Genomic DNA, 20,450 nt, shown 5'->3' with positions numbered 1-20,450 from the left:
AACTCATGCGTAATCAAAACAAATTGAATATCCACCCTTATTCCCATAGGGAGTAGCATTATAATGATTAATGCTTGACAATTATATTTAATGAAAGCTTATTTACTTTATAAGTACTTTCCAAGTATTTTTCCTATGGTATTCCAAGCATTAACATTCCAAGATAATCTAACATATCACAGGTGAAGACAAGGATTATAATAACAAGAAGAAATGCACATTGGCATCAGGCACAGCCCGGAAACATTTTTTATAATGAAGAATATTTGTAGCGTGCAAATTTAAAAAGAATTTGATTCTTGAGGTCTGTAGCATTGCCTCTCCCTCTCTGTCTCTCTCTCTTTTTTCCCTCTCTCTTTCCAAACATGCATCACTGACACAAAAACATATCCCCTCAAAGATGTATCTACAATTTTGTTTCCTCTATTTTTGTTTTAAAAGCCCTCGCCTGCTCCAACCCAGCCTTAGGCTTCCAACATAATTAACCTTGAAAATTTCAGCGTTGTTATGTTTCAGCCCAGAATTCTAGATAGAATCAGTACATATACCTCCCTCACAAGTTTTAGACAAGAAATTTCAATATTATTTTCAGGTCCTGGTATACGTGGTGATGAAAGTTATATTGTGAAATTCAATTCTGGAAAATGTACCTCAGATCTCTAATATTTTTCCCCAAATTACAACCAACTGGATCTAATCTTACAGCACCAATTAAATATTTTATTTTATTTTTTATTTATTTATTTATTTTTTGAGATGCAGTCTTGCTTCTTTGCACAGGCTGGAGTGCAGTGGTGCGGTCTCGGCTCACTGCAACCTCCGCCTCCTGGGTTCAAGCAGTTCTCCTGCCTCAGCCTCCCTAATAGCTGGGATTACAGGCATGTGCCACCACGCCCAGCTAATTTTTGTATTTTTAGTAGAGACCGGGTTTCACCATGTTGGCCAGGCTGGTCTCGAACTCCTGACCTCAAGTGATCCACCCACCTCAACCTCCCAAAGTGTTGGGATTACAGGCGTGAGCCACCGTGCCCAGCCCCAATTAGCTATCTTTAACACAACTGAAATTGTCATTCTTTTGAATTAAATTTGATTTAATTTGTACAATTTCTGTGCAAGGCATGACAAACCATTTATTCAGTTTAAAAAGAAGTTATTAATAGAAACTAGACTTTGGAAAATGCTCATATTTAAACTTTTTAATTTTTCTAATTAGTTATTTAAAAAAACTATACGGAAATGGAAAATAATCATTCATTCTGGTTTACTACAGAAAGCATGAAATACTTCACACTCTGCTTCTAGACTCATACCTTAAATAAACAGCAATGTTCTCGTGCTTCGAAAGAAAACAAATTTTATGCTTGCCTGATGAGGAGAGAAACCCCATGTCTTTCATGAGGAAGCCTCAGCACAGATTCCTAAGGGTGATACTGAGGTGACCCATGGAGATGCTGGGTGCCTGTGACCCTGAGGAGTGCCAGGTGTCCTGCGAACAATTTCACAGGCATTCTTGACAATACTGGAAGTTCCCACTTTCCCAACAATATCTCTGAAGGTCCTCATTCCTGATGAACTTACCAAGTTCAAAACTCACACGACATGCGTAATCCTGAAAAAGGTGGCAGGCATGTCATTTGTCCAGACTAAGAAGGAAGCGCAATGTAGCTGTGACATCCATACAATGTACAATTCTCTTGACAGGACAAAGTTGAAACCCTCTGCTTCATCTGTATTCTGATTGGCATGATTTCAAATTACGACATGGTGAACCTTCATATTTTATGTGGAACCACCTATGTTCTTGTAATGCACATGGACATACATCTCTTGGACCCACTCTAAAATCAGTCCCGTTTTACAGATGAGGAGAGTCCTAAACAAGTTGAGTCCTTCAGGCCCTGTGGTTACTCAGGTCTTGTGCAATTCCAAACCCTAGCACCTCGTTATATGCCTGGCTGCCTCCTTAGGAGAAATTAGAGATTGCTGAGTACGTGTAATATACCCACGGTCAAGTCTGAGCTACCGTTCTCATGCAATAGGTATAAACTCAGATAAGCTTCAGGACTGTCACCGCATGGGCTCAAAGACCCATACGGAGGATGCTGTCGACTGTCATTGTGAACCACATGTAGCCCATCAGAGGAGCTCTCTCTGCAGCTGTTGGTGACATTTGGCTTTCGAATCTAAGTTGGTAGCTTGAAATTAATTGAATTTATTTGATTTGGTTTTTAATTCATAAAACTATATTGCGCTCTGCTCTAAATGAGCTTATATTCCAAATGTGGTGTATTGCTTTTCTTTCTAACCATGATGATGTAAGTGTATTTTATTAATATAACAACAAGGTGCTCTATTGCTTTCTAACTATTTATCCTACATGTGTACATAAGTGTTAAAGGAGCTGGAGAGGCATTAAAATCAATCTTAATGCTTTTAAAACCAAAGGTGACATCCATTTAGGCTGTTTTCTAATAAATTCTGATTTTTTTTTCATTTGAGGAAACATATATAATTGCTAAGTTTATGCAATTTACAAGGTATTTTTAGCCTCAGAATAATAAACCTCACTTAAATCGATGGTCTTTGTACTTGTAACAAAGAGTTAATAACATAAGGCAAGTGAAAAATAAGTGTAGTTATTAAACGCCTTATTGATAAGTTGAGACCAAGAGTTACACCAACAGAGAAACTGTGAAGGAAGGGAATGCTGATGAAGTTAAAATAGAAACAAATATATACTGCCACTTTGCAGGATTAAGTGCACTGTCTAAAAGAAAAATTTAAGAAAATAATTTAAATAAATGGTATAATAAGATCCTTTTAAGAGACAGCTGTTCAGAACCAAATTTAGATTCATGCTCTTTTATCCATTCTATGAATAACAACCAGCTTTTGTTATTTTCTTACATGAAACCATTTTTTAAATAAATTTCAAGTGTTATAAATCACTCAGAATGTACATACCCCTAATTCATGCAGTTTTATTGCCACTAAGGAAATAATCATTCTTTCTCACTTTGTATCTGTCTTTTTCTCCCAGTGCACTTCTTTATTGAGGGAGCCTGAATAGTTCAAAGATTTTTAAAATTTTCATGATTAGGAACCCACTTTTTCAAATCAAAATGTTTTAACATTTTTAAAGGGGGAGAAATTTAACACTCTTTGTAAATAGTCTTCACAAAGCCTCTAACAAGTAAATTGATAGACATGTAAACATTGGTATATTTCAAATGACTCTATATATGAATTTATGAAGCTTTAAAGGGCTTCATTTTGCAAAAAGCAACTTTGCAGGCCATTAGTCCATAATATAGACTAGCCTCTTTGGAGTATTTAAGAAAAAGTGTGAAACAGCCAGGATGTTGAGACTTAGAATGGAATTGCCAACTGCACATGGGTTCATTTCCACCCAGTGTCTTGCTCAGGCATTTAGCAATGTGTTTTCCTAATGCAGGAATTGCACCTGACACACAAACATACACTATGGTACAAGCGTATTACAATGCATTTTCTTTATTATGCACATTGTGAACATACCCAAAGAAAAGTACACAACTACAGCCAAACACAACCCTTCTGTCAAATCAACAACATGAAGTCCTCACTGTTATTAATGTATCAGAGCCATAATGACAAACTGTGACTGCACGGTTGAACTAATGTTTTTCACTCATAGACAGCTTAACCAGTCCATTGGTATATTAGTAAGGCCTGCTTACTAATGAATCTTGGAGCAATTATTTGTATGTTTAAGGATTTGAAAGAAGGGTCAAGGAGTAGAAAAGCCGCTGTCCCACTTTTTTTGTTCAGGGGGTTCCTGGGCTTCAGACTTTCAGTATTAAAACTGAGAAAGCCCTAAGCAATCAGGGATAAGTTGGAAGAAAGTTGGAAATTCATTTTGGTTTGGGCAAGAGGCACAGAGAAAATGGACTGGGGAAAAAAATAATAATAAAAATGGACTGGGAAAAAAAATTACAAGCCTTAAAAAAGAAAGATTTGAATTTGTTACGTAACAAAGATGCTTTCACTAATTAAAGGAAGTTTACCTTTAACAGAGGCTTTTAGTCTCAAAAAATGGAAAAGTCCTCAGCATCCCAGGGGAATGCCAACTTCAAACGATTCTTAAGTTTTAATAATCACCTCGTGTGAAAATTGGCTGTGTTTAATGTTACTTTCTGAAAAGAATGAGTTGGTTTCCAAACAAATACAATTTCGGTACTTGTTTTCTGATACCGATTTTGGGTGTGTGAAATGGAAAGTTAAAAACATTTTACTTTGGCTAACAGATTTTAAAATGATAAAAATAGCAATTGTACGAACTCCCAAACTGAAAGAGCAGATTAATTTCATAAGAGATTAGAGTAAAAAAAGTTTTAAATTAAATTAAATTTCTACCTTAAATCAGTGAGTGATTAAGACAAAGATGCCAATGAAATCTGATGAAACCAATCCAAAGGCGGGCTTTTGATCTGTTACCCCCATAAAAAGAGCCCATAAAATTAATCTCCCTGGATGCTTTCCATGTTCAATCAGTACAGAATAACTTTTAAGCACTCAGGACATTTGTTATAAAGTGCATGCTCTCTAGTTGTTCATATACACCCACCCACGATTCTAAAGATCTCTTCAGCTCCACACACAGAAAACAGACAAGAGTGGAACAGTGGATGTTTTCAGGAGCCTCTGGGATTTGTGCTCATTAGAGAGAAGAGTTTCAGGCCGGGCAAGGTGGCTCACGCCTGTAGTCCCAGCACTTTGGAAGGCCTAGGTGGGCAGATCACCTGAGGTCGGGAGTTCGAGACCAGCCTGGCCAACATGGTAAAACCCCGTCTCTACTAAAAGTACAAAAACTAGCCGTCATAGTGGTGGGCACCTGTAATCCCAGCTACTCAGGAGGCTGAGGCAGGAGAATCACTTGAACCCGGGAGAGGGAGGTTGCAGTGTGCCGAGACCGCACTACTGCATTCCAGCCTGGGTGACAGAGCCAGACTCCATCTCAAAAAAAGAAAAGAAAGAAGAATTTCATCAGGGACTTAGAAAAAGGAGTCAGCAGTGAGGATTGGAAATCCCCAATCATTTATTTTTATTTATTTTTACTTTTTTGAGACTGAGTTTTGCTCTTGTTGCCCAGGCCGGAATGGAGTAGCAGGGTCTCGGCTCACTGCAACCTCCACCTCCCTGGTTCAAGAGATTCTCCTGCCTGAGACTCCTGAGTAGCTGGGACTACAGGCGCACGCCACCTCGCCCAGCTAATTTTTGTGTTTTTAGTAGGGACAGGGTTTCGCCATGTTGGTCAGGCTGGTCTTGAACTCCTGACCTCAGGGGATATGCCACTTTGACCTCCCAAAGTGTTGGGATTACAGGCGTGAGCCACCGCGCCCAGTCCCCAGTCATTTTAGTTTACCAGTATTCATACGCCCCTTCCACTCCCCTAACCAACAATAAATGATGTCAATTTGGTCTTTCCCCTTATTTATTTTTTATTTTTTCTATTTTTTTAATTAATTAATTAATTAATTAATTTATTTATTTATTTATTTATTGAGACGGAGTCTCGCTCTGTCGCCCAGGCTGGAGTGCAGTGGCGCGATATCGGCTCACTGCAAGCTCCGCCTCCCGGGTTCACGCCATTCTCCTTCCTCAGCCTCCCGAGTAGCTGGGACTACAGGCGCCCGCCACCACCCCGGCTAATTTTTTGTATTTTTAGTAGAGACGGGGTTTCACCGTGTTAGCCAGGGTGGTCTCCATCTCCTGACCCCGTGATCCGCCTGCCTCAGCCTCCCAAAGTGCTGGGATTACAGGCGTGAGCCACCGCGCCCGGCCGCATACTACTTATTTAAAACTCAGTGCGTGTCACTCAGTCTGTATATAATATATACATGCCACCATATCAGCAGGACATCCTCTTACCCTTGTTGCAGATAACTGGAGGTTCAAGGAGGCCCCACAGTTTGCCTAAATGGAGGAGGGGAATTTGTAGACCATTGATGCAGCTGTCACAAGACAGCAGGTTCAAGGGTCAGCTTTTCACCTTACAGCTGACAAGTGTCCTCTCGAGGGTCAGGAATGAAGGTTTTAACTTTGGGAAGCAAGTAGGATGGAAAACAGATACTGAATTCACACTCTGGCTCAACATCTTAGTTCTGCAACTGGCTACTTATACAGAATAGACCAGTTATTAAACTTTTCTGTGCCCCTGTGCCCTTTTCTGTAAATATAATCTCACATTCCTCAAAAAGTTAAACACAGGACCCAGAAATTCCACTCCTCTGAATAGACCCTAAAGAGCTGAAAACAGGGACCCAAGCGGACACTTGTACACCAGTGTTCATAGCAGCACAGTAGCCAAAAGATAGGCACAGTTCAAGTGTCCATCAGCTGGTGGACAGATAAAATGTGGTCTACCACGCAACGGAATATTACTCAGCCACGAGAACAAGCGGAATTCTGACATAGGCAGTGACGTGGTTGAAACTCGAAAACATTATGCTAAGTAAAATAAGCCAGACCCAAAGAACAGAGCTGTGTGATTCCACTCACCATGAAGTACAGGCAAACTCACAGAGACAGAGAGACCAGAGGCCACCAGAGGCTGCAAGGAAAGGAGACTAGGGAGTTACTGCTTAATGAGATGTACAATTTCTGTTTGCGCTGATGAAAAATTCTGGAGATAGGTACCGTTGATAGTTACACAACATTATAAATTTACTTAATAACACCAAGTTGTACACTTAAAAATGGTTAAGATGGCAAATTGTATGCTACATGTTTTACCACAATAAAAATAGTTTTATAAAACCCACAAACACGGGAGTATCAATGCACAGAGTTCCGAGGAGAATGAAACCAGAGTTCATGTAGAAAAGAGTGACTAAGAGGAGATGCTCAACTAAAGTGATTGTCCTTTGCCTTTCTGCCCCCAGTCCATGCGGCACATGAACGGGGCTCTAGCATGATGCTGGGAGTCCACCTGGCCTGGTGGGCATGTGCAGTGCTGAGCTCTTCAGAGCAGAAGCTGCAAACTCAGCCCTGTCTGCAGAGACTGTGTTGCCACCAACTCAGAAGTTCTATTTCTTCAAGGGGAGAGGAAGTCTTGGGACATCAGTTTTTGACAAAGGCAATTAACAAGTTGTAGGTAGAGGAACTTACTTTTTTCCCTAATCATGAGCTTTAAAATTCACTGCTTCTAGAAAGAAACTGAATTTAAAATGCAATTATTGTGCAGTAATTAACTTTGTCCAAATGAGGCCCTTTCAGAACTCAGTTTCTTTAGGGACACATTATTGAGCCCAGTGAGGTGGTGTGTTTTCCTGGCCTTTTTTTTTTTTTTTTTTTACATTTTTCAATAAAGTATTTTTGTGGTCAAATTGGTGGATTTTTTTTTAAGTCTGATTTGATATATTTGGGCTCTTTCCAAGAACTCTGTCAGGGTGTTCAGAGTTTCAGCTTTCTACTTGTGGGGGAAAGAAAAGAGTCTCATTTCTATAAATCGAATGTGTTTTTTGCCACGTGAAACAGCCTCTTGGAAATCTGCCTCCAGCCAGCCAGCTTAAGACAATGGCAGTGACAGTTAGATGTTGTCCTTGCCCTCTTTCCAAAACTGACAAATTTCACCTTAAAATTGCAAGAGCAGCTCAGTCCAGAATGGAGCATTGTGCAAACCCCTGGCTGAAATGGAAAGAGGCCTTTGACAATGGGGAAATGTGGTTAAAAGGCCAGCTGCCTTTAATTCACCTGTGTGATACCAGTTGAGATTTCTTACTTTTCTTTTCTTTATTTCGTTTTTCCCCTACACATGGTCACCAGGGAGGCAAGACTTGACTTTACTCCGGTAAGAGTAAATGCTCACTGTCCCAAACATGCAGGGTGCGACTAGGTAGACACGTGCTGAGGGCCCAAACCTGGATCAAACCAAAGAGAAACAGCACAGCGAAAGCAGATCTTCTCTCTTTCTATTTCTCTCTGGGCAAATATTGGAAGCATGACTTATTTTTAAAAGGCTTTCTCAAATGTTTTCTTCATGCATGTTTTTCCATACATCTCTAAATAATGCAAAATTTAGAAAGAATAATGGGGCTCTGTCCTTGTAAACCACCCAGAGGGGAAATTTTGAATGTGTTGAAGGCTTGGAATTCAGGGCTAAATTTTATATGGCCAGCCTCATTTCCAACACAACATAAAGTAAGTCCAAAGGGAGAGAGACTGACCCTTTCTCCTTCTCTCACAATATCCCAGCTCTGCAAAGCCAAGGTGTTACTGGATTCTGCAGAAATTACCAGCTACTTTCACGCACTTGGCCAAGAGGAAGAAAGAAAATGAAAGAAGAGAAAGAAAGGGGAGAAGAGAGAGAGAGAGTGAGAACCTCGGCAGATATACGTTGGCCCTGCCAATGACTCTCTGTTTAACTTGTAATCAAAACAACTCAAACCCAGTTACTGTTTGCATATCTGCCAAGTTTCTCAATTTCAGAGTCGGCAGCAGGCCCTCGGTATGACAGCCTGTCTTTCAGATTCCAGCAGAATCTGCCAAAGCCCCAGCACAGAGGCAACTGGTAAATTAAATGCCAGCGAGCACGGGCATTCCTACACCTTTCCTCTGTGCACACAAAGCAGCATCCCAGGCCCCTCATCCTGGCAGAGGCTGTGAAGACCCAGGATGCCCACATCCTAGCCTGTGCCTACACCCCCTTCCCTAGGTCATTACCACCCGGTGCCTGCTGAGCATTAGTCAGTGCACGGATGGGAACAAACTACCAAGTTTTCCTTTTAAGAAGAACCTGGGGTGGAGAGTGGGGAGCACCATTCTGCCAGCAGATGAAAAAAAAATACTCACAAATCAAATAGACTCAGAAAAACTCACTTTCAAGTGCCCAGCGATATCATGCAATCTATAGATAACGTTAGGTATTCAGATTCACCGCAAAGTGTAATTGAAAATAAAATAGACATTAAATACATAGAGACACATCTTTAAATCTTGCATCCTAAAAGCTTCTTGTGAACTAAAGATAAGGCTTCTCTTTTCCTAGGAAAGTGTAAGCTTCTAAAAGCTAGTTGATTCTTCAGGGGAGGAGTAAGCGCTTAGCTACCTTCACATTTATTGGTGCTGATTAGCATAACAGATATTAATGAATAAGCATTGTTTTGACTGCAACTTTGACTATAACCTGCTGATTTAATGACTCACACTAAGTTTAGGGAGTGTGGGCTGCAATCTTAATTATGAAAATGTGGCCGAGCTCCTGAGATTAGCAGCTAGCGTAAATATCAAAAACATATAATGAAGACAGGAGACAAGTTCGTGGGCCCAATGGCCACTATAAATATGAGAATGATCCCCTAACTTCACCATTTATCAAAATCTGCTTCTACACAAACCAATGCATTTTTTAAAAATCTTTTAGAGTGGTGTAATTTGCCTTCGTACCTGGACTGACATGCACGTGAAGGCTGCCAAGGAGAGAGACCAGGTCTCTTCGGCAGTCACCTGGGTCATGTGTGCAGAGGGTCTGTGAGTGGCTTTGTCATCCCTGAGAACGTTTGCAGTGACCCTATCTGTGTGCCCCTCTGCATGTGTTTCCACGTGTGTCTGGACGACAGCCCCAAGCGTGTGGACGGAAGGCAGCACTTCACAAACAGCCAGACAGAGCACCACCTCTTTAGTGCAGCAGGTAAGAGAGGTCTGTTGGATCTGGCGCCTCTTTTATTTGCCATAATTTGGCAGGTACTGCTCTGCGCGGCTGCAGAACTGAGAAGGTGAAGCCCTTTGATGCAGCCTCTGATGGGCGTCGGGCACAGCACACCATCAAGGCAATTCTAGCCTCTAAGCCCCGTGATGCTTTCTTTTCCAAGCTCAGGAGCTTCATTTGAGAGAAAAAAACATTAAGCATAATTCACCAACCTGCAGGTTTTCTTTCCCTAACCTAGCAACATTTTCAAAAGAAAACATAATTCTAAGTGGTTCCAAGGTTTAACAGCGAGGCCAATTACCTGGTGGACATTTCTGGAGATGCAGCCACCATGGGAAAGCTGCTAAGAAATTCTAGTCGCTAAATTCTAATTAGCTGACAGGCGAATTCCTGTTAAGTTTCTGTTTTTCATTCAGAGACGCTATGAATGGGTCTGATCACTTTCTGGGAAATTGTAATTGTGCATGTGTATGTTTAGAAACAGGAGGCCTTCCAGTCCAGATTCTGGTCTTGGTATTTGGAAGGACCAGGCCTTGATTTTGAGCAGAAATAACCACGTTCTTCTGAGCTCCTGGTGTTTTGACCCCGTAGCAGCCGCAGCCCAAGGCCCGCAGCACCTCCTTAGAATCCCAGTTTGCTGCCAGCACCTAATTGGTATGCTAATGCCCAGAGCTGCCTCAATTTGTAATTCTTCCCTGGAAATGGTATTCAGATTTCTGCATCCCCTCTCTACTAAGAGAAGGACGCTGGGAGATTTTTTTTTCCCTTCGTCTGGTCAAACAGGTAAAATAAACTTAACTCTGGTGACGGCAGACACATATCCCCTCCCTGAGGCCTTCTTTAGTCTGAACGGAAAAGCGGAAGCATGGCCAAGTGAAAATACTGATCTTTCCATTTGCCGACGAGGAGCAGGGGCCGGGGGAGAGGCCAGGTTCCTTTTACAAACTGTTGTTCTCAATTATCAATTTCCAGCCCTTTGTGCAAACTCAGGGCGATGCCGTTCCAACATCTTTACTTAGAACTTGGGGGGAGGCTCCCCTTTGCTTAAGATAACCCCTTTTCTTTGTATTTGAAAATAAATGTAAAGTTTACCTTGGGAACAAATGATTAATGAAGTGTTTTCAGTGTACCCCAGCTGTTCACTATAATAGAAGAATAATTTGATGTTTGGGGTTCTGAAGCCATTTGATGGCAATTGTGTGTTTTTTTTGTTTTTTTTTTGGAGGGGTCTGTGGGGTGGGGTGATTAAAGGGTTAATATTCAAATCAGAAATTTGCAAGGCCTGCATAATGGGAGCGCCACCCTCATAACAATAGGAATTTTTAACAATATCCAGCCTTGTTAGCAAGAGAGTTACATGCATTGAGGGCAATCAGTGTGTCTTGTCAGTTTCTTTTTATCTACCATCTCCAACCGCCGAGGAGCCGAAATGAAGCACTTTGGAATTATCAATTTCAGCCACATTTGCATAACAAAGCCCCCGAGGAAGAGGCATGATAAATGTGAAGGACCCCTCTTGGAAAAAGAACTGTCAACCGCGCCCCGAAAGATTCTCCGACCGAGCGCATTCTCCCGGACTGCAGTCAGCGAAAATAAAATGAAAGCATTAAAGAAAGTCATTCTCTCAGAGAGAAAAATCTCCCCCTCTGCACAGAGAGAACTGGATGAAATGACATTATGCATATGAAAATGTCCAGAAAGATGTTTGATTTATGTATGCATTAGATGCAAATTCCATTACGGTGCGCGCGCTGTTGTGTGATTTGGCGCTGAACACATCAGCGCCCTGATCAGATCTGATCTCATTAATTCCGACAAGGAGAGAGAGAGGGAATTGAGAAGAATTTATGGCCTGGACACTTGAAAGAAGTAAATTGTAATTCTGTTTAAAGCTGTAGCGAACCTTTTAAACACCTTTTATTATAGGAAAGAAGCACTCACTTTTATAACACTGTAAGGACTTACTTAATCCTGCACTGGGGGCTCTGGTCTTCATTTAGGGGGAAAAAAATCTATGACCTTGTTTAGGGGAAAGAAAAAAGAAGAGGAAAATGTCTGTCTTGAACCAAAATTCAGGGAAAACATCACAATAGTAGGATCAAAGGAGAAATGATGCCTCTGTGAATAATTGGGTAAACGTTTGGTTTTAAGGATCGTGTGTTTTGTTTTGTTTTGTTTTAGTGGCTTAATATTTTCAAATAAAATACCAAACAGTGAATGAATATTTTTATGGGACTGGGTAACAGATTTACATTTTAAAATGTCTTTATTTGCATTACAGATAAAAGCGCTACTAACAATATGTGACGGGAGATGCAATGGGAAAAGTTATCTTTTGAAACCTCTACTTATTAGGACTGCTTTGAAAGCACAGTCAATTTCAGACCAATATGAATAATAATGATAATAATAATAACCCCACTGCCAAAATAGTCTTAAGGGGAAATACATTTTTATAGGGAAAATCCCAGATTGTTTCTCTCTATTAATAATGATTCTTATCTTTCTTTTGCTCCTGAACAAGACCTTAATAAGTCGTTTCCTCCTTTCAGGAGCAATAATCACCCTTCATGGGTGAGATATCCTATATTTACTTGATAGCGAGTGTAAAGCCGAAAGTGTCTCAATATGTTATTGCATCAAGGAATCATGGTTCCTCCCCCAGCATTCATGACCCCCTGGGGTGCAGCTTTGCCTGCTAGAGTTGCGTTTCCCTGCGCGTCTTTCATCTTCGCCAGCTATGATTAACTGTCTTCCCAGGGCCGGAGGTGGGGGCAGAGACTGGATTCGGAAAACCTTAGTTACCGGATCATGTTTGATTTTAGATGGAAATGAAGATACCGAGGCGGAATTCTCCCCCAGTGCAGCCTACAGCTTCCCGGGGTAATCCACTCCAATAGAAGTCATTGTTGGGTTTAGCAAATGTTTATCCAGATTGATGCAGCAAACTTACATGTGAACGCAGATAAACAGCGACTCGGAGGGCAAAGGGTTCCAGAACCAGGTGAACCTGCTTAAATGTCACATTTTGTCAAAGGCTAATCCCCTTGTCGTTCCTCATTTCCACCCAAACCATAAAAGTATCTCATGTGTGCTGTAGATATAATTATAGATGGAACCCGCGTATTTACACTATGCATCTGTGTCCCTACTCTTCCGTGCTGTATGTTTTAAGGACACAGGCAATGAGTAGCGGCCACTGGTTTGCCCACATTCCAATGCATCACATCGGCAAATCAGGAAAATAATTGGGTTTTCCTTTGAGAAGAGAGAGAAGGGGGAAAAAATCCTTCTTCCTGTGATGTTTTAAAAATTCAAAATTTCCTCATTTATCTCCATGTTAGCTCTAACCACACAGTTGAAAGGTATATTTAGACTGCAGATACTGTATTTTAGAATGTGGAATTTCACGTCCTCTCACTTGGGGGACTTGAAAGAATTGTGCACATTTTGAATAGGCTTGTCTGCAAGTAAGAGGGAAAAGAACTTACCTTGGCATTATACTAGTGAGATTTTGGTTTTTTGCAAGGCATTTAATGTGTCTGTGTATGTGTGAAGGCATGCATTGAAATACAGAGCCAGTTTGTTCACCTTCAATTAAGTTCTCCCTCAAATATACACGGAAGGAAATGTACATATTATATTTTATAAATAATAAGGCTTGGGGGTCAGCTTTCTCATATCTTCACATGGTTGGCCAGATCTTAGTGTGTCTCTCTCTCTCTCTCTCACACACACACACACACCCAGTGAATGGGTAAGGCTTGGTGATTAAGGTCGTGCTGTTTGTTCATCTCTGCCCTGGCTAATGTGATTGAATTGGAACAATACCTTTGAACTCCTTGGCTCTGATCTGCATACTAATTGATCCCAAGTCCTTGACAATGACCTTAGCCGCCATCCACCCATTCCTGCAAAGGCTGCTCGGCCCTACTCAAAAGTTGCTATCAAAATCCAGAAACGACACAGAAAGTCCCTTTATAAAGAGCGTCTTTGAGCAGTGTGTTACTCCCTAGCTCCCCCTGCGAGATGCTTTCAGAAATAAAAAGTATTTGTCCAGGACTGGAAAACAGTTTTGTCGCGGAATGCTCAAATGTCTGTGGAGTAACCGCAAGAGCAAAGGGGGAGAAATTCGGTTGTCAAAACTTACCCTCGTGGTGATAGGTAACATCTTCTCCTAAAATAAAAATCCGTGATGATAGATTCTGTGCAAGATGTTTCCCAAAATTGTCTTTGAGATATCAGAAGCCTGCACATACATCTCACTCTTCTAAAAATCAGTGGACAGGATCAGATCCTGCCTTTATTTAAAATCTGAATTTTTTGTTCATTGTGAATTTTGGTGCATTCATTTTATTTTTTTAAACATTGCATCCAATTATCATTTTTCTTAATTACTGCCTTTTTGGCACTCCATTAAATTTTGCACCCAAGGTGCATGCCTCAATTCTCTCACCCAGATCCCAGCGCCCCCAGCATCTCTGCTGTAGTTTTATAGTCTTAGGAAAGTTCTGAGGAAAGAAATTCGAACAGTGGAAAAAGTATATTTTTCCCAAATTTACACATATTTACCTATAAATTTAAGTGGGCACAAAAACAAGTGAAAGTATAATAATTCATGGGGATTCGCGTATCTCTTTAAGGTAAAAAGGTGCTGACATACGCACACACACAACCACACATCCAAAGAAATTAAAGACAAAGAACCACATTGTTGGTGACTTTTAAAATTGTACTGTGCAGTAATGAATTAACCAGTAGCTAGAAGGTTTCCATTAATAAACCAAAGTTATATTCTTTGTGTGACCTTGAAAACAACAACAAAAAAAGTCTCTTCTGGGGAGAAAATGTATCAAAGGAGTTTATTAAAAGCAATGGTAGTATCAGTCCTAAAGCAAACACTGGAACAAAATAAAAACACAAAAACCTTTTCTCGGATATGAAATCATCGATTATATTGGACTACAGCGTTTTCTTGAAATCTGCCTGAGGGATAAATTGGAGGGGGCCACCCCATTTGGCTGTGAACAGAATAGATGGTGTTACTGGAATAACTACTCAATTAAAATCAGCGACCCCTTGCTCACCTACGCTGGCTTTACCTGGGCCCACCTTGCCGACAGCAAAAGAACACAGGTGCAAAACAAAAAGACCACCGATTTTCTCTGATACCACACCACCACCTGACATCCAACACTCGTCTTCCCGTGATTTAGAGATCAAACACTGGTCCTTGTCAGCCCAGGGCAGCCATGAGTCACAAAACCACGTCCACGGGCGCACACGGCTTCCACGCTTTTTCATTTCAGTAAGAAGACACTTTTCTAAGAACACGGTGTTCTAAAAAAGAAAGAAAAAAACTGTCTGTAATTTGTCATGAATTTCAATTACCAAAAACTTTTGATTTTTTTTCCTCTTTGAAAAAAAAAAAAGATTGGCATACCTCCAGGTTTTAAGAATGTAGTTAATGCAGAGAATGACAGAAAGATAAAGATGTGTGTGTATGTGTGTGCGTGTTTGTGTGTGTAGGAAAAGCTCCGAACATACGCTGTTCATATAGGCCTAGCTGGGTTTTAAGCCCTGAATAAAGGTTCGTGGTGACATGGGTGAGAAAGAGCATTTTGTATTTATGTGGAACGGATTGTTCTGACAGGTTCCACAGCATTTCCCAGAGCCGACATGTCACAAATGTGACTTGTGGCATCCCAGGGCTGCACACACACACCAGGAAGCCGGTTTACACTCACCAACTCACGGCACATAAAGGGTTTTGGAGAGGAAATAAAGACTCATTTTGCAATTGGAAACTACAAGGTTTTTTTTTTTTTTTTCTCCTTTCAGATACACAGAATACTTACCAAACGGGAGCAGAACTTTTTTTTTTTTTTTTTTTTTGAAATGTGCAACTGTGTGAAACTTGTCTGGTTTCAGATTTACACAGAAATTTGGAACCATCTTGTTTTCATCCAAACAAATTCAAACTGAAGAACCTCTTAACTAAGCTGGGAGCATATTTGCACCAAGAAAACTGATGTTCCTAATTCATTAACCTACAAGCATTTGGTACCAGTGGAGCTTACTAAATGTGCACAGCCCAGTGACTTGCTTTTTTGTTCTGTTTTCTTGAGGGCTGACTCTTTACTTGCACTGTCCTAGGTAGGAAGTGGAAGATAAAAAAACAAAATCAGCATGCTATCAGCCTGTTATCTGTTCTTTGGTCTTAAGGAATGATTTCAGGTTTCTGAGGTGCTTGGTATACATAGGTGAAGCTGAATACATGTTTACCGTATAAGCAAATACGTAAAATTAGAACACTTTAAGTTGTAACATGAGACAGTATATAATTAAAATGCCAAACTGAGCGGTCCAGATCATTCCAGCAGGAGTTCAGAGGTCAGAGGAAGCCGCATAGTGAGAATAATCACTCCTTCTGGCACAGCACCAAACAATTTAAAATCAGTTTTGCATCACTGACTACCTCCATCCTCTGTACGGTCCTGCATGCTGGCAATGAGCAAAAAAGATACCATCCCTGTCCTCGTGAGGTTTCCAGTCCAGCCATTGGTGGGGCGGGAGATAATATACAGCATGCCACATGGGGATACACATTATGGGAAAAAATAAATCATTAAAGGAAATGTGGAGTCCTGTGGAGTCCCAGGGTGGCGTGATGTGTTAGTATGACGCACATGGAGGTTAAGAAAGCACTCGTACGGTAGGGGAGGTTTCTGTAAGGATAAAAAGCAGCAAGGGAAGAAGCCACCTGTCTCTCTAGGGGAAAAGAGATCCAAGTAGAGGGAAAAGCAAGTTCAAAGCCTGGGGCAGAGCCTGCTCGGTGTGTTCAGGAAGAGCAGGGGGGACATGTGTTTGGAGCAGAATGATCAAATCAGAGGGAGGCAGAGGTGGGGGAGATCACTCAGGAGCTCGAAGGTCATGGCAAGGACTTCGGCTTTTACACCCAGTGAGATGCAAACCAGCGGACGGCTTTGAGCACGAGAGTGACGTGATCTGAGGCTAAAGATGAAGCTCCCTCCTCAAGGCATTTGGGAAGGGTAAATGCCAAAACGCAGGCTCAACCACCAGTTTAAGAACTACATGTAAATGTGACCTGCATAGGTCGAATGGGAAGCTGTTTCAGAGACTCGAGGCTTTTTTTTTTTCTGTTTACAAAAAGAAGATAAAAAACTATGCAACAAAGATTAAAAAAAAAAAAAAAGACTGGCGTGTTCTCCAGTTTTTCATTACACTCACATGCAATACGTTCATGTATTTTCCGATCTATGATGATGATTTTTAAAAACTACATTAATGCAGTGGAGAGAAGAAAAAAGCAAGAGATCCTTAATGTGCCCACTGTGGACATCCCTTTATCTTCCTCCCAGTACTCCTGGAAATGGCAGCGTTGCTTCGAGGGCCTTGCAACAGGGCACATGTGGAATGAGAGGCTGGCAGTCTCCAGATCTCCAGAGCCCTTACTGCTCCCTGGAACCCAGTCCATCATCAACCTAAAACCAAGTTGGCCAACAGTCCCTGGCTCTGACTCATACCCTTCCATTGAACTGGACAGAACCTCGGTTTACTCATCTGTAAAATGGTAGTGTTAATGTACATTCTGCCTATCTCCAGATCAATGGGGCACCCAGAGGAAATAATTAATATGAAATTGCTTTGGCAGATAGAAATGTAACAGAATATTTATGTAATTATGTATAATTATATTATTAGTTTTTTTAAAACAGGCAGAAATAAGAAAACTACACATGAAAACTAAACAGCCTACATAATCTATGCTGATTATATGTGTACACACACATACATACATACACATATATATACTCACATATACACAAATAATTACAATGCAAATTTTAAAACATATATATACAAAAAAGTTTTAAAAAACTACTTATAGTTTCACCACCCAGAGAAACCAAAATTAACTTTTCATTATATTTTCTTCCAGTTTTTATCTGTTCAGAATATAAATGTAAATATTTGCATAACTATTTTTATATATTTATGTTATTACTAATATATATGTACCTACAATATGTCATGACTAGGCTATGGTATATAACATTAGCCACAGCTCTACGTCATACTATAACCATAGCCTGTAACATAGCATGCCACAGTTATGTCCTATTATAGGTACAGTGTATAATATAATGATAAATTATTTTATGTAGTTATAGAAATACATCTACATATATACAAAATGTAGATTTACATCATTCAATATATTATTGTAAAATTAATACCAATTTTTTTGTTTAAACAGGTAAATCACATATATTGTTTAAAAGAAAAGTCGGCAGTACAAAAGTGAAGTGCACCCTATCACTACCATTTTCCCTTCAAAAAGCAATAGCATTTCCCATTAATAAGTGGTAATACATTGAGCACACTGTTCTGTACATTTTTTTTTTTTGAGACGGAGTCGCTCTCTGTTGCCCAGGCTGGAGTGCAGTGGCATGATCTCGGCTCACTGCAACCTCTGCCTCCTGGGCTCAAGCGATTCTCCTGCCTCAGCCTCCCGAGTTTACAGACATGTGCCACCACACCCTGCTAATGTTTATATTTTTAGTAGAAACGGGGTTTCGCCATGTTGTCCAGGCTGGTCTCCAACTCCTGACCTCAGGTGATCCACCCGCCTCTTCCTCCCAAAGTACTGGGATTATAGGCGTGAGCCACCGTGCCTGGCCTGTACTTTTCTTTTTTTAATTAAAGATGCATCTTAGAGATCATTTCATGACAGCAGATATATACATCTGCTTCTTTCTTTTAGTGGCTGCATGGCATTGCATTGTAAGAATATTTGACATTTTATTTAATCTACAAATGTAAGTTAAATCATTTCCAATTAATCACTATCCTAACAAAGCCACAAAAATCACATTTTTGTGAATTTCTGTAAGTACCTCAAAAAGCTAAAGTGCTAAAGTGGAACTGCCAGGTTAAAGAGTATGAATCATGTCAAGTTTGACACAAACCCCCAATTCGTTTTGCAAAGCCGATGCACTAACTGACCACTCACACATACCACATCTACAAAGTCCATTTTTCCATTCCCCCATTGCCATTTGCATTTTCCTTATTACAAACAAATTGAGAATCTATTTTAAATAGTAATTTGTTTCCTTTTTGCCAATTGTCTACTAAAGTTCTTTCAGTATTTTTCCATTGGATTGTTTTGCAATATTAACAATTTGTAGAAGCTCTTTACATATGAAAGAAACTAGTCTGACATATATCACATAGGTTGCAAGACAGGAGTTACAAATTTATAGAAAGAAAAATCCATCAATCTACTTTTTGAGCTTCTGGATTTTGCATCACGCTTAAAAAGTCTTTCCTGTTAATAATTCCAATATTGCTGCTGGAGAAATCACCCTGAAGAGCCAGGAGAGCTGCAACAGGGAAGAGGACAATTTTTTTTTTTTTTTTTTTTAGACAGAGTCTCACTCTATCACCCAAGCTGGAGTGCAGTGGTGCAATCTCGGCTCATTGCAACCTCCACCTCCCGGGTTCAAGTGATTCTTGTGCCTCAGCCTCCCAAGTAGCTGGGACTACAGGTGCAGACCACCACACTCGGCTAATTTTTATATTTTTAGTAGAGACAGGGTTTCACCATGTTGGCCAGGCTGGTCTCAAACTCCTGACCTCAGGTGATCTGCCTGCCTCAGCCTCCCAAAGTGCTGGGATTACTGGTGTGAGCCACTGTGCCCAGCCAAAGGACAGCACAATTTGTAAAGAAACAAGGCACCTTCAGAGAAGGGAGAGAGGACCAGCGAGGCTGGCTAACAGGTTGAAGGATGACATGGGAGGAGGCTAGAATGGGAGACATATCAGGGAGAGCAATCTGTAGGTTTCTCTCCTACAAATAGTTTTATTTGGGAAAGGAAGGGACTTCACCTGATGCATACTCTGAAGACATCACTGCAGTATGAGTAAGAGATTAGTGAGTGGCAAGAGAGGAAGCAAAGAGATCTGGAGCTCAGGTGACTGACGGTGGCCTCTGGGCAGGCAGTGAGAAGTGGATGGACTCGTGCACCTGTAATGGGGACCAAAGGTGGAGAACCTGCCACAAATGCAGGTGGATGGAGATCCCATTTAAGGTGGCAGGAAAAGTTGGAGGTAATGGGCAGCACAGACCACCTGCTCACTTTTGGACAGGATGATCTCTAGGGGCTGTGAGAAATGCTCACAGGGGAGGCTGGAAGGCAGTTGTCTCTATGAAGGTGTTGCTCAGAAGAGAGCCGCAGAGGTGCTCACCCCTGGAAAAGGTGCTTCATCATCCTCAGGCATAGTCTCCTCCTCTGCAAAATGAAAGAAATCACTTACAAGGGGACAATGATGTAAGCCACCCAGCCAAGGGCCTTGCACAGAGTGGGTGCCCCCAGGGTGACCAGATCTCCCTGATCTCGCTCCCCCACATCAAATACGCAAAAGCATGTGGGTTGCTCTGTGACCACAGAAACATGCACATCGTGAACTCCAGGCCCCTGCCAGGCCCTGAGGATTCAGGGGTGAGGGAGGCTCAAACCTTGCCCTCGGGGACCACTGGGTCCAATGGGGAAGGACAGTCAAACATGCGATGGGGTAATCAATGGGGTGCAATCAACCTGGAAGAGCTGGACATGCAAGCTGTAAGGTAAAGGTGCCAGGAAAGTAGAAAAAGGCAGAACTGTCATCCACTATTGGGGGAGGGGAGGATAAACACACAGACGACAGAAAAGAGGCAACGCTGTTTTTACCTTCA

The 20,450-nt window shown here is 41.1% G+C and overlaps 1 annotated feature.

Annotated features, from left to right (window-relative positions):
• Positions 12,117–12,638: an enhancer, noted in NCBI's record as "NANOG hESC enhancer chr14:97878244-97878765 (GRCh37/hg19 assembly coordinates)". NCBI's record gives its function as "activates a minimal SCP1, AML or CMV promoter by ChIP-STARR-seq in naive H9 embryonic stem cells {active_cell/tissue: H9 hESC(naive)}" and the evidence as "EXISTENCE:reporter gene assay evidence [ECO:0000049][PMID:30033119]".

Source organism: Homo sapiens, chromosome 14 (assembly GCF_000001405.40).
Source record: "Homo sapiens chromosome 14, GRCh38.p14 Primary Assembly".
NCBI lineage: Eukaryota > Metazoa > Chordata > Mammalia > Primates > Hominidae > Homo > Homo sapiens.
The sequence above is the reverse complement of the archived record's forward strand: the minus strand, read 5'-3'. Positions and strand labels throughout refer to the sequence as shown.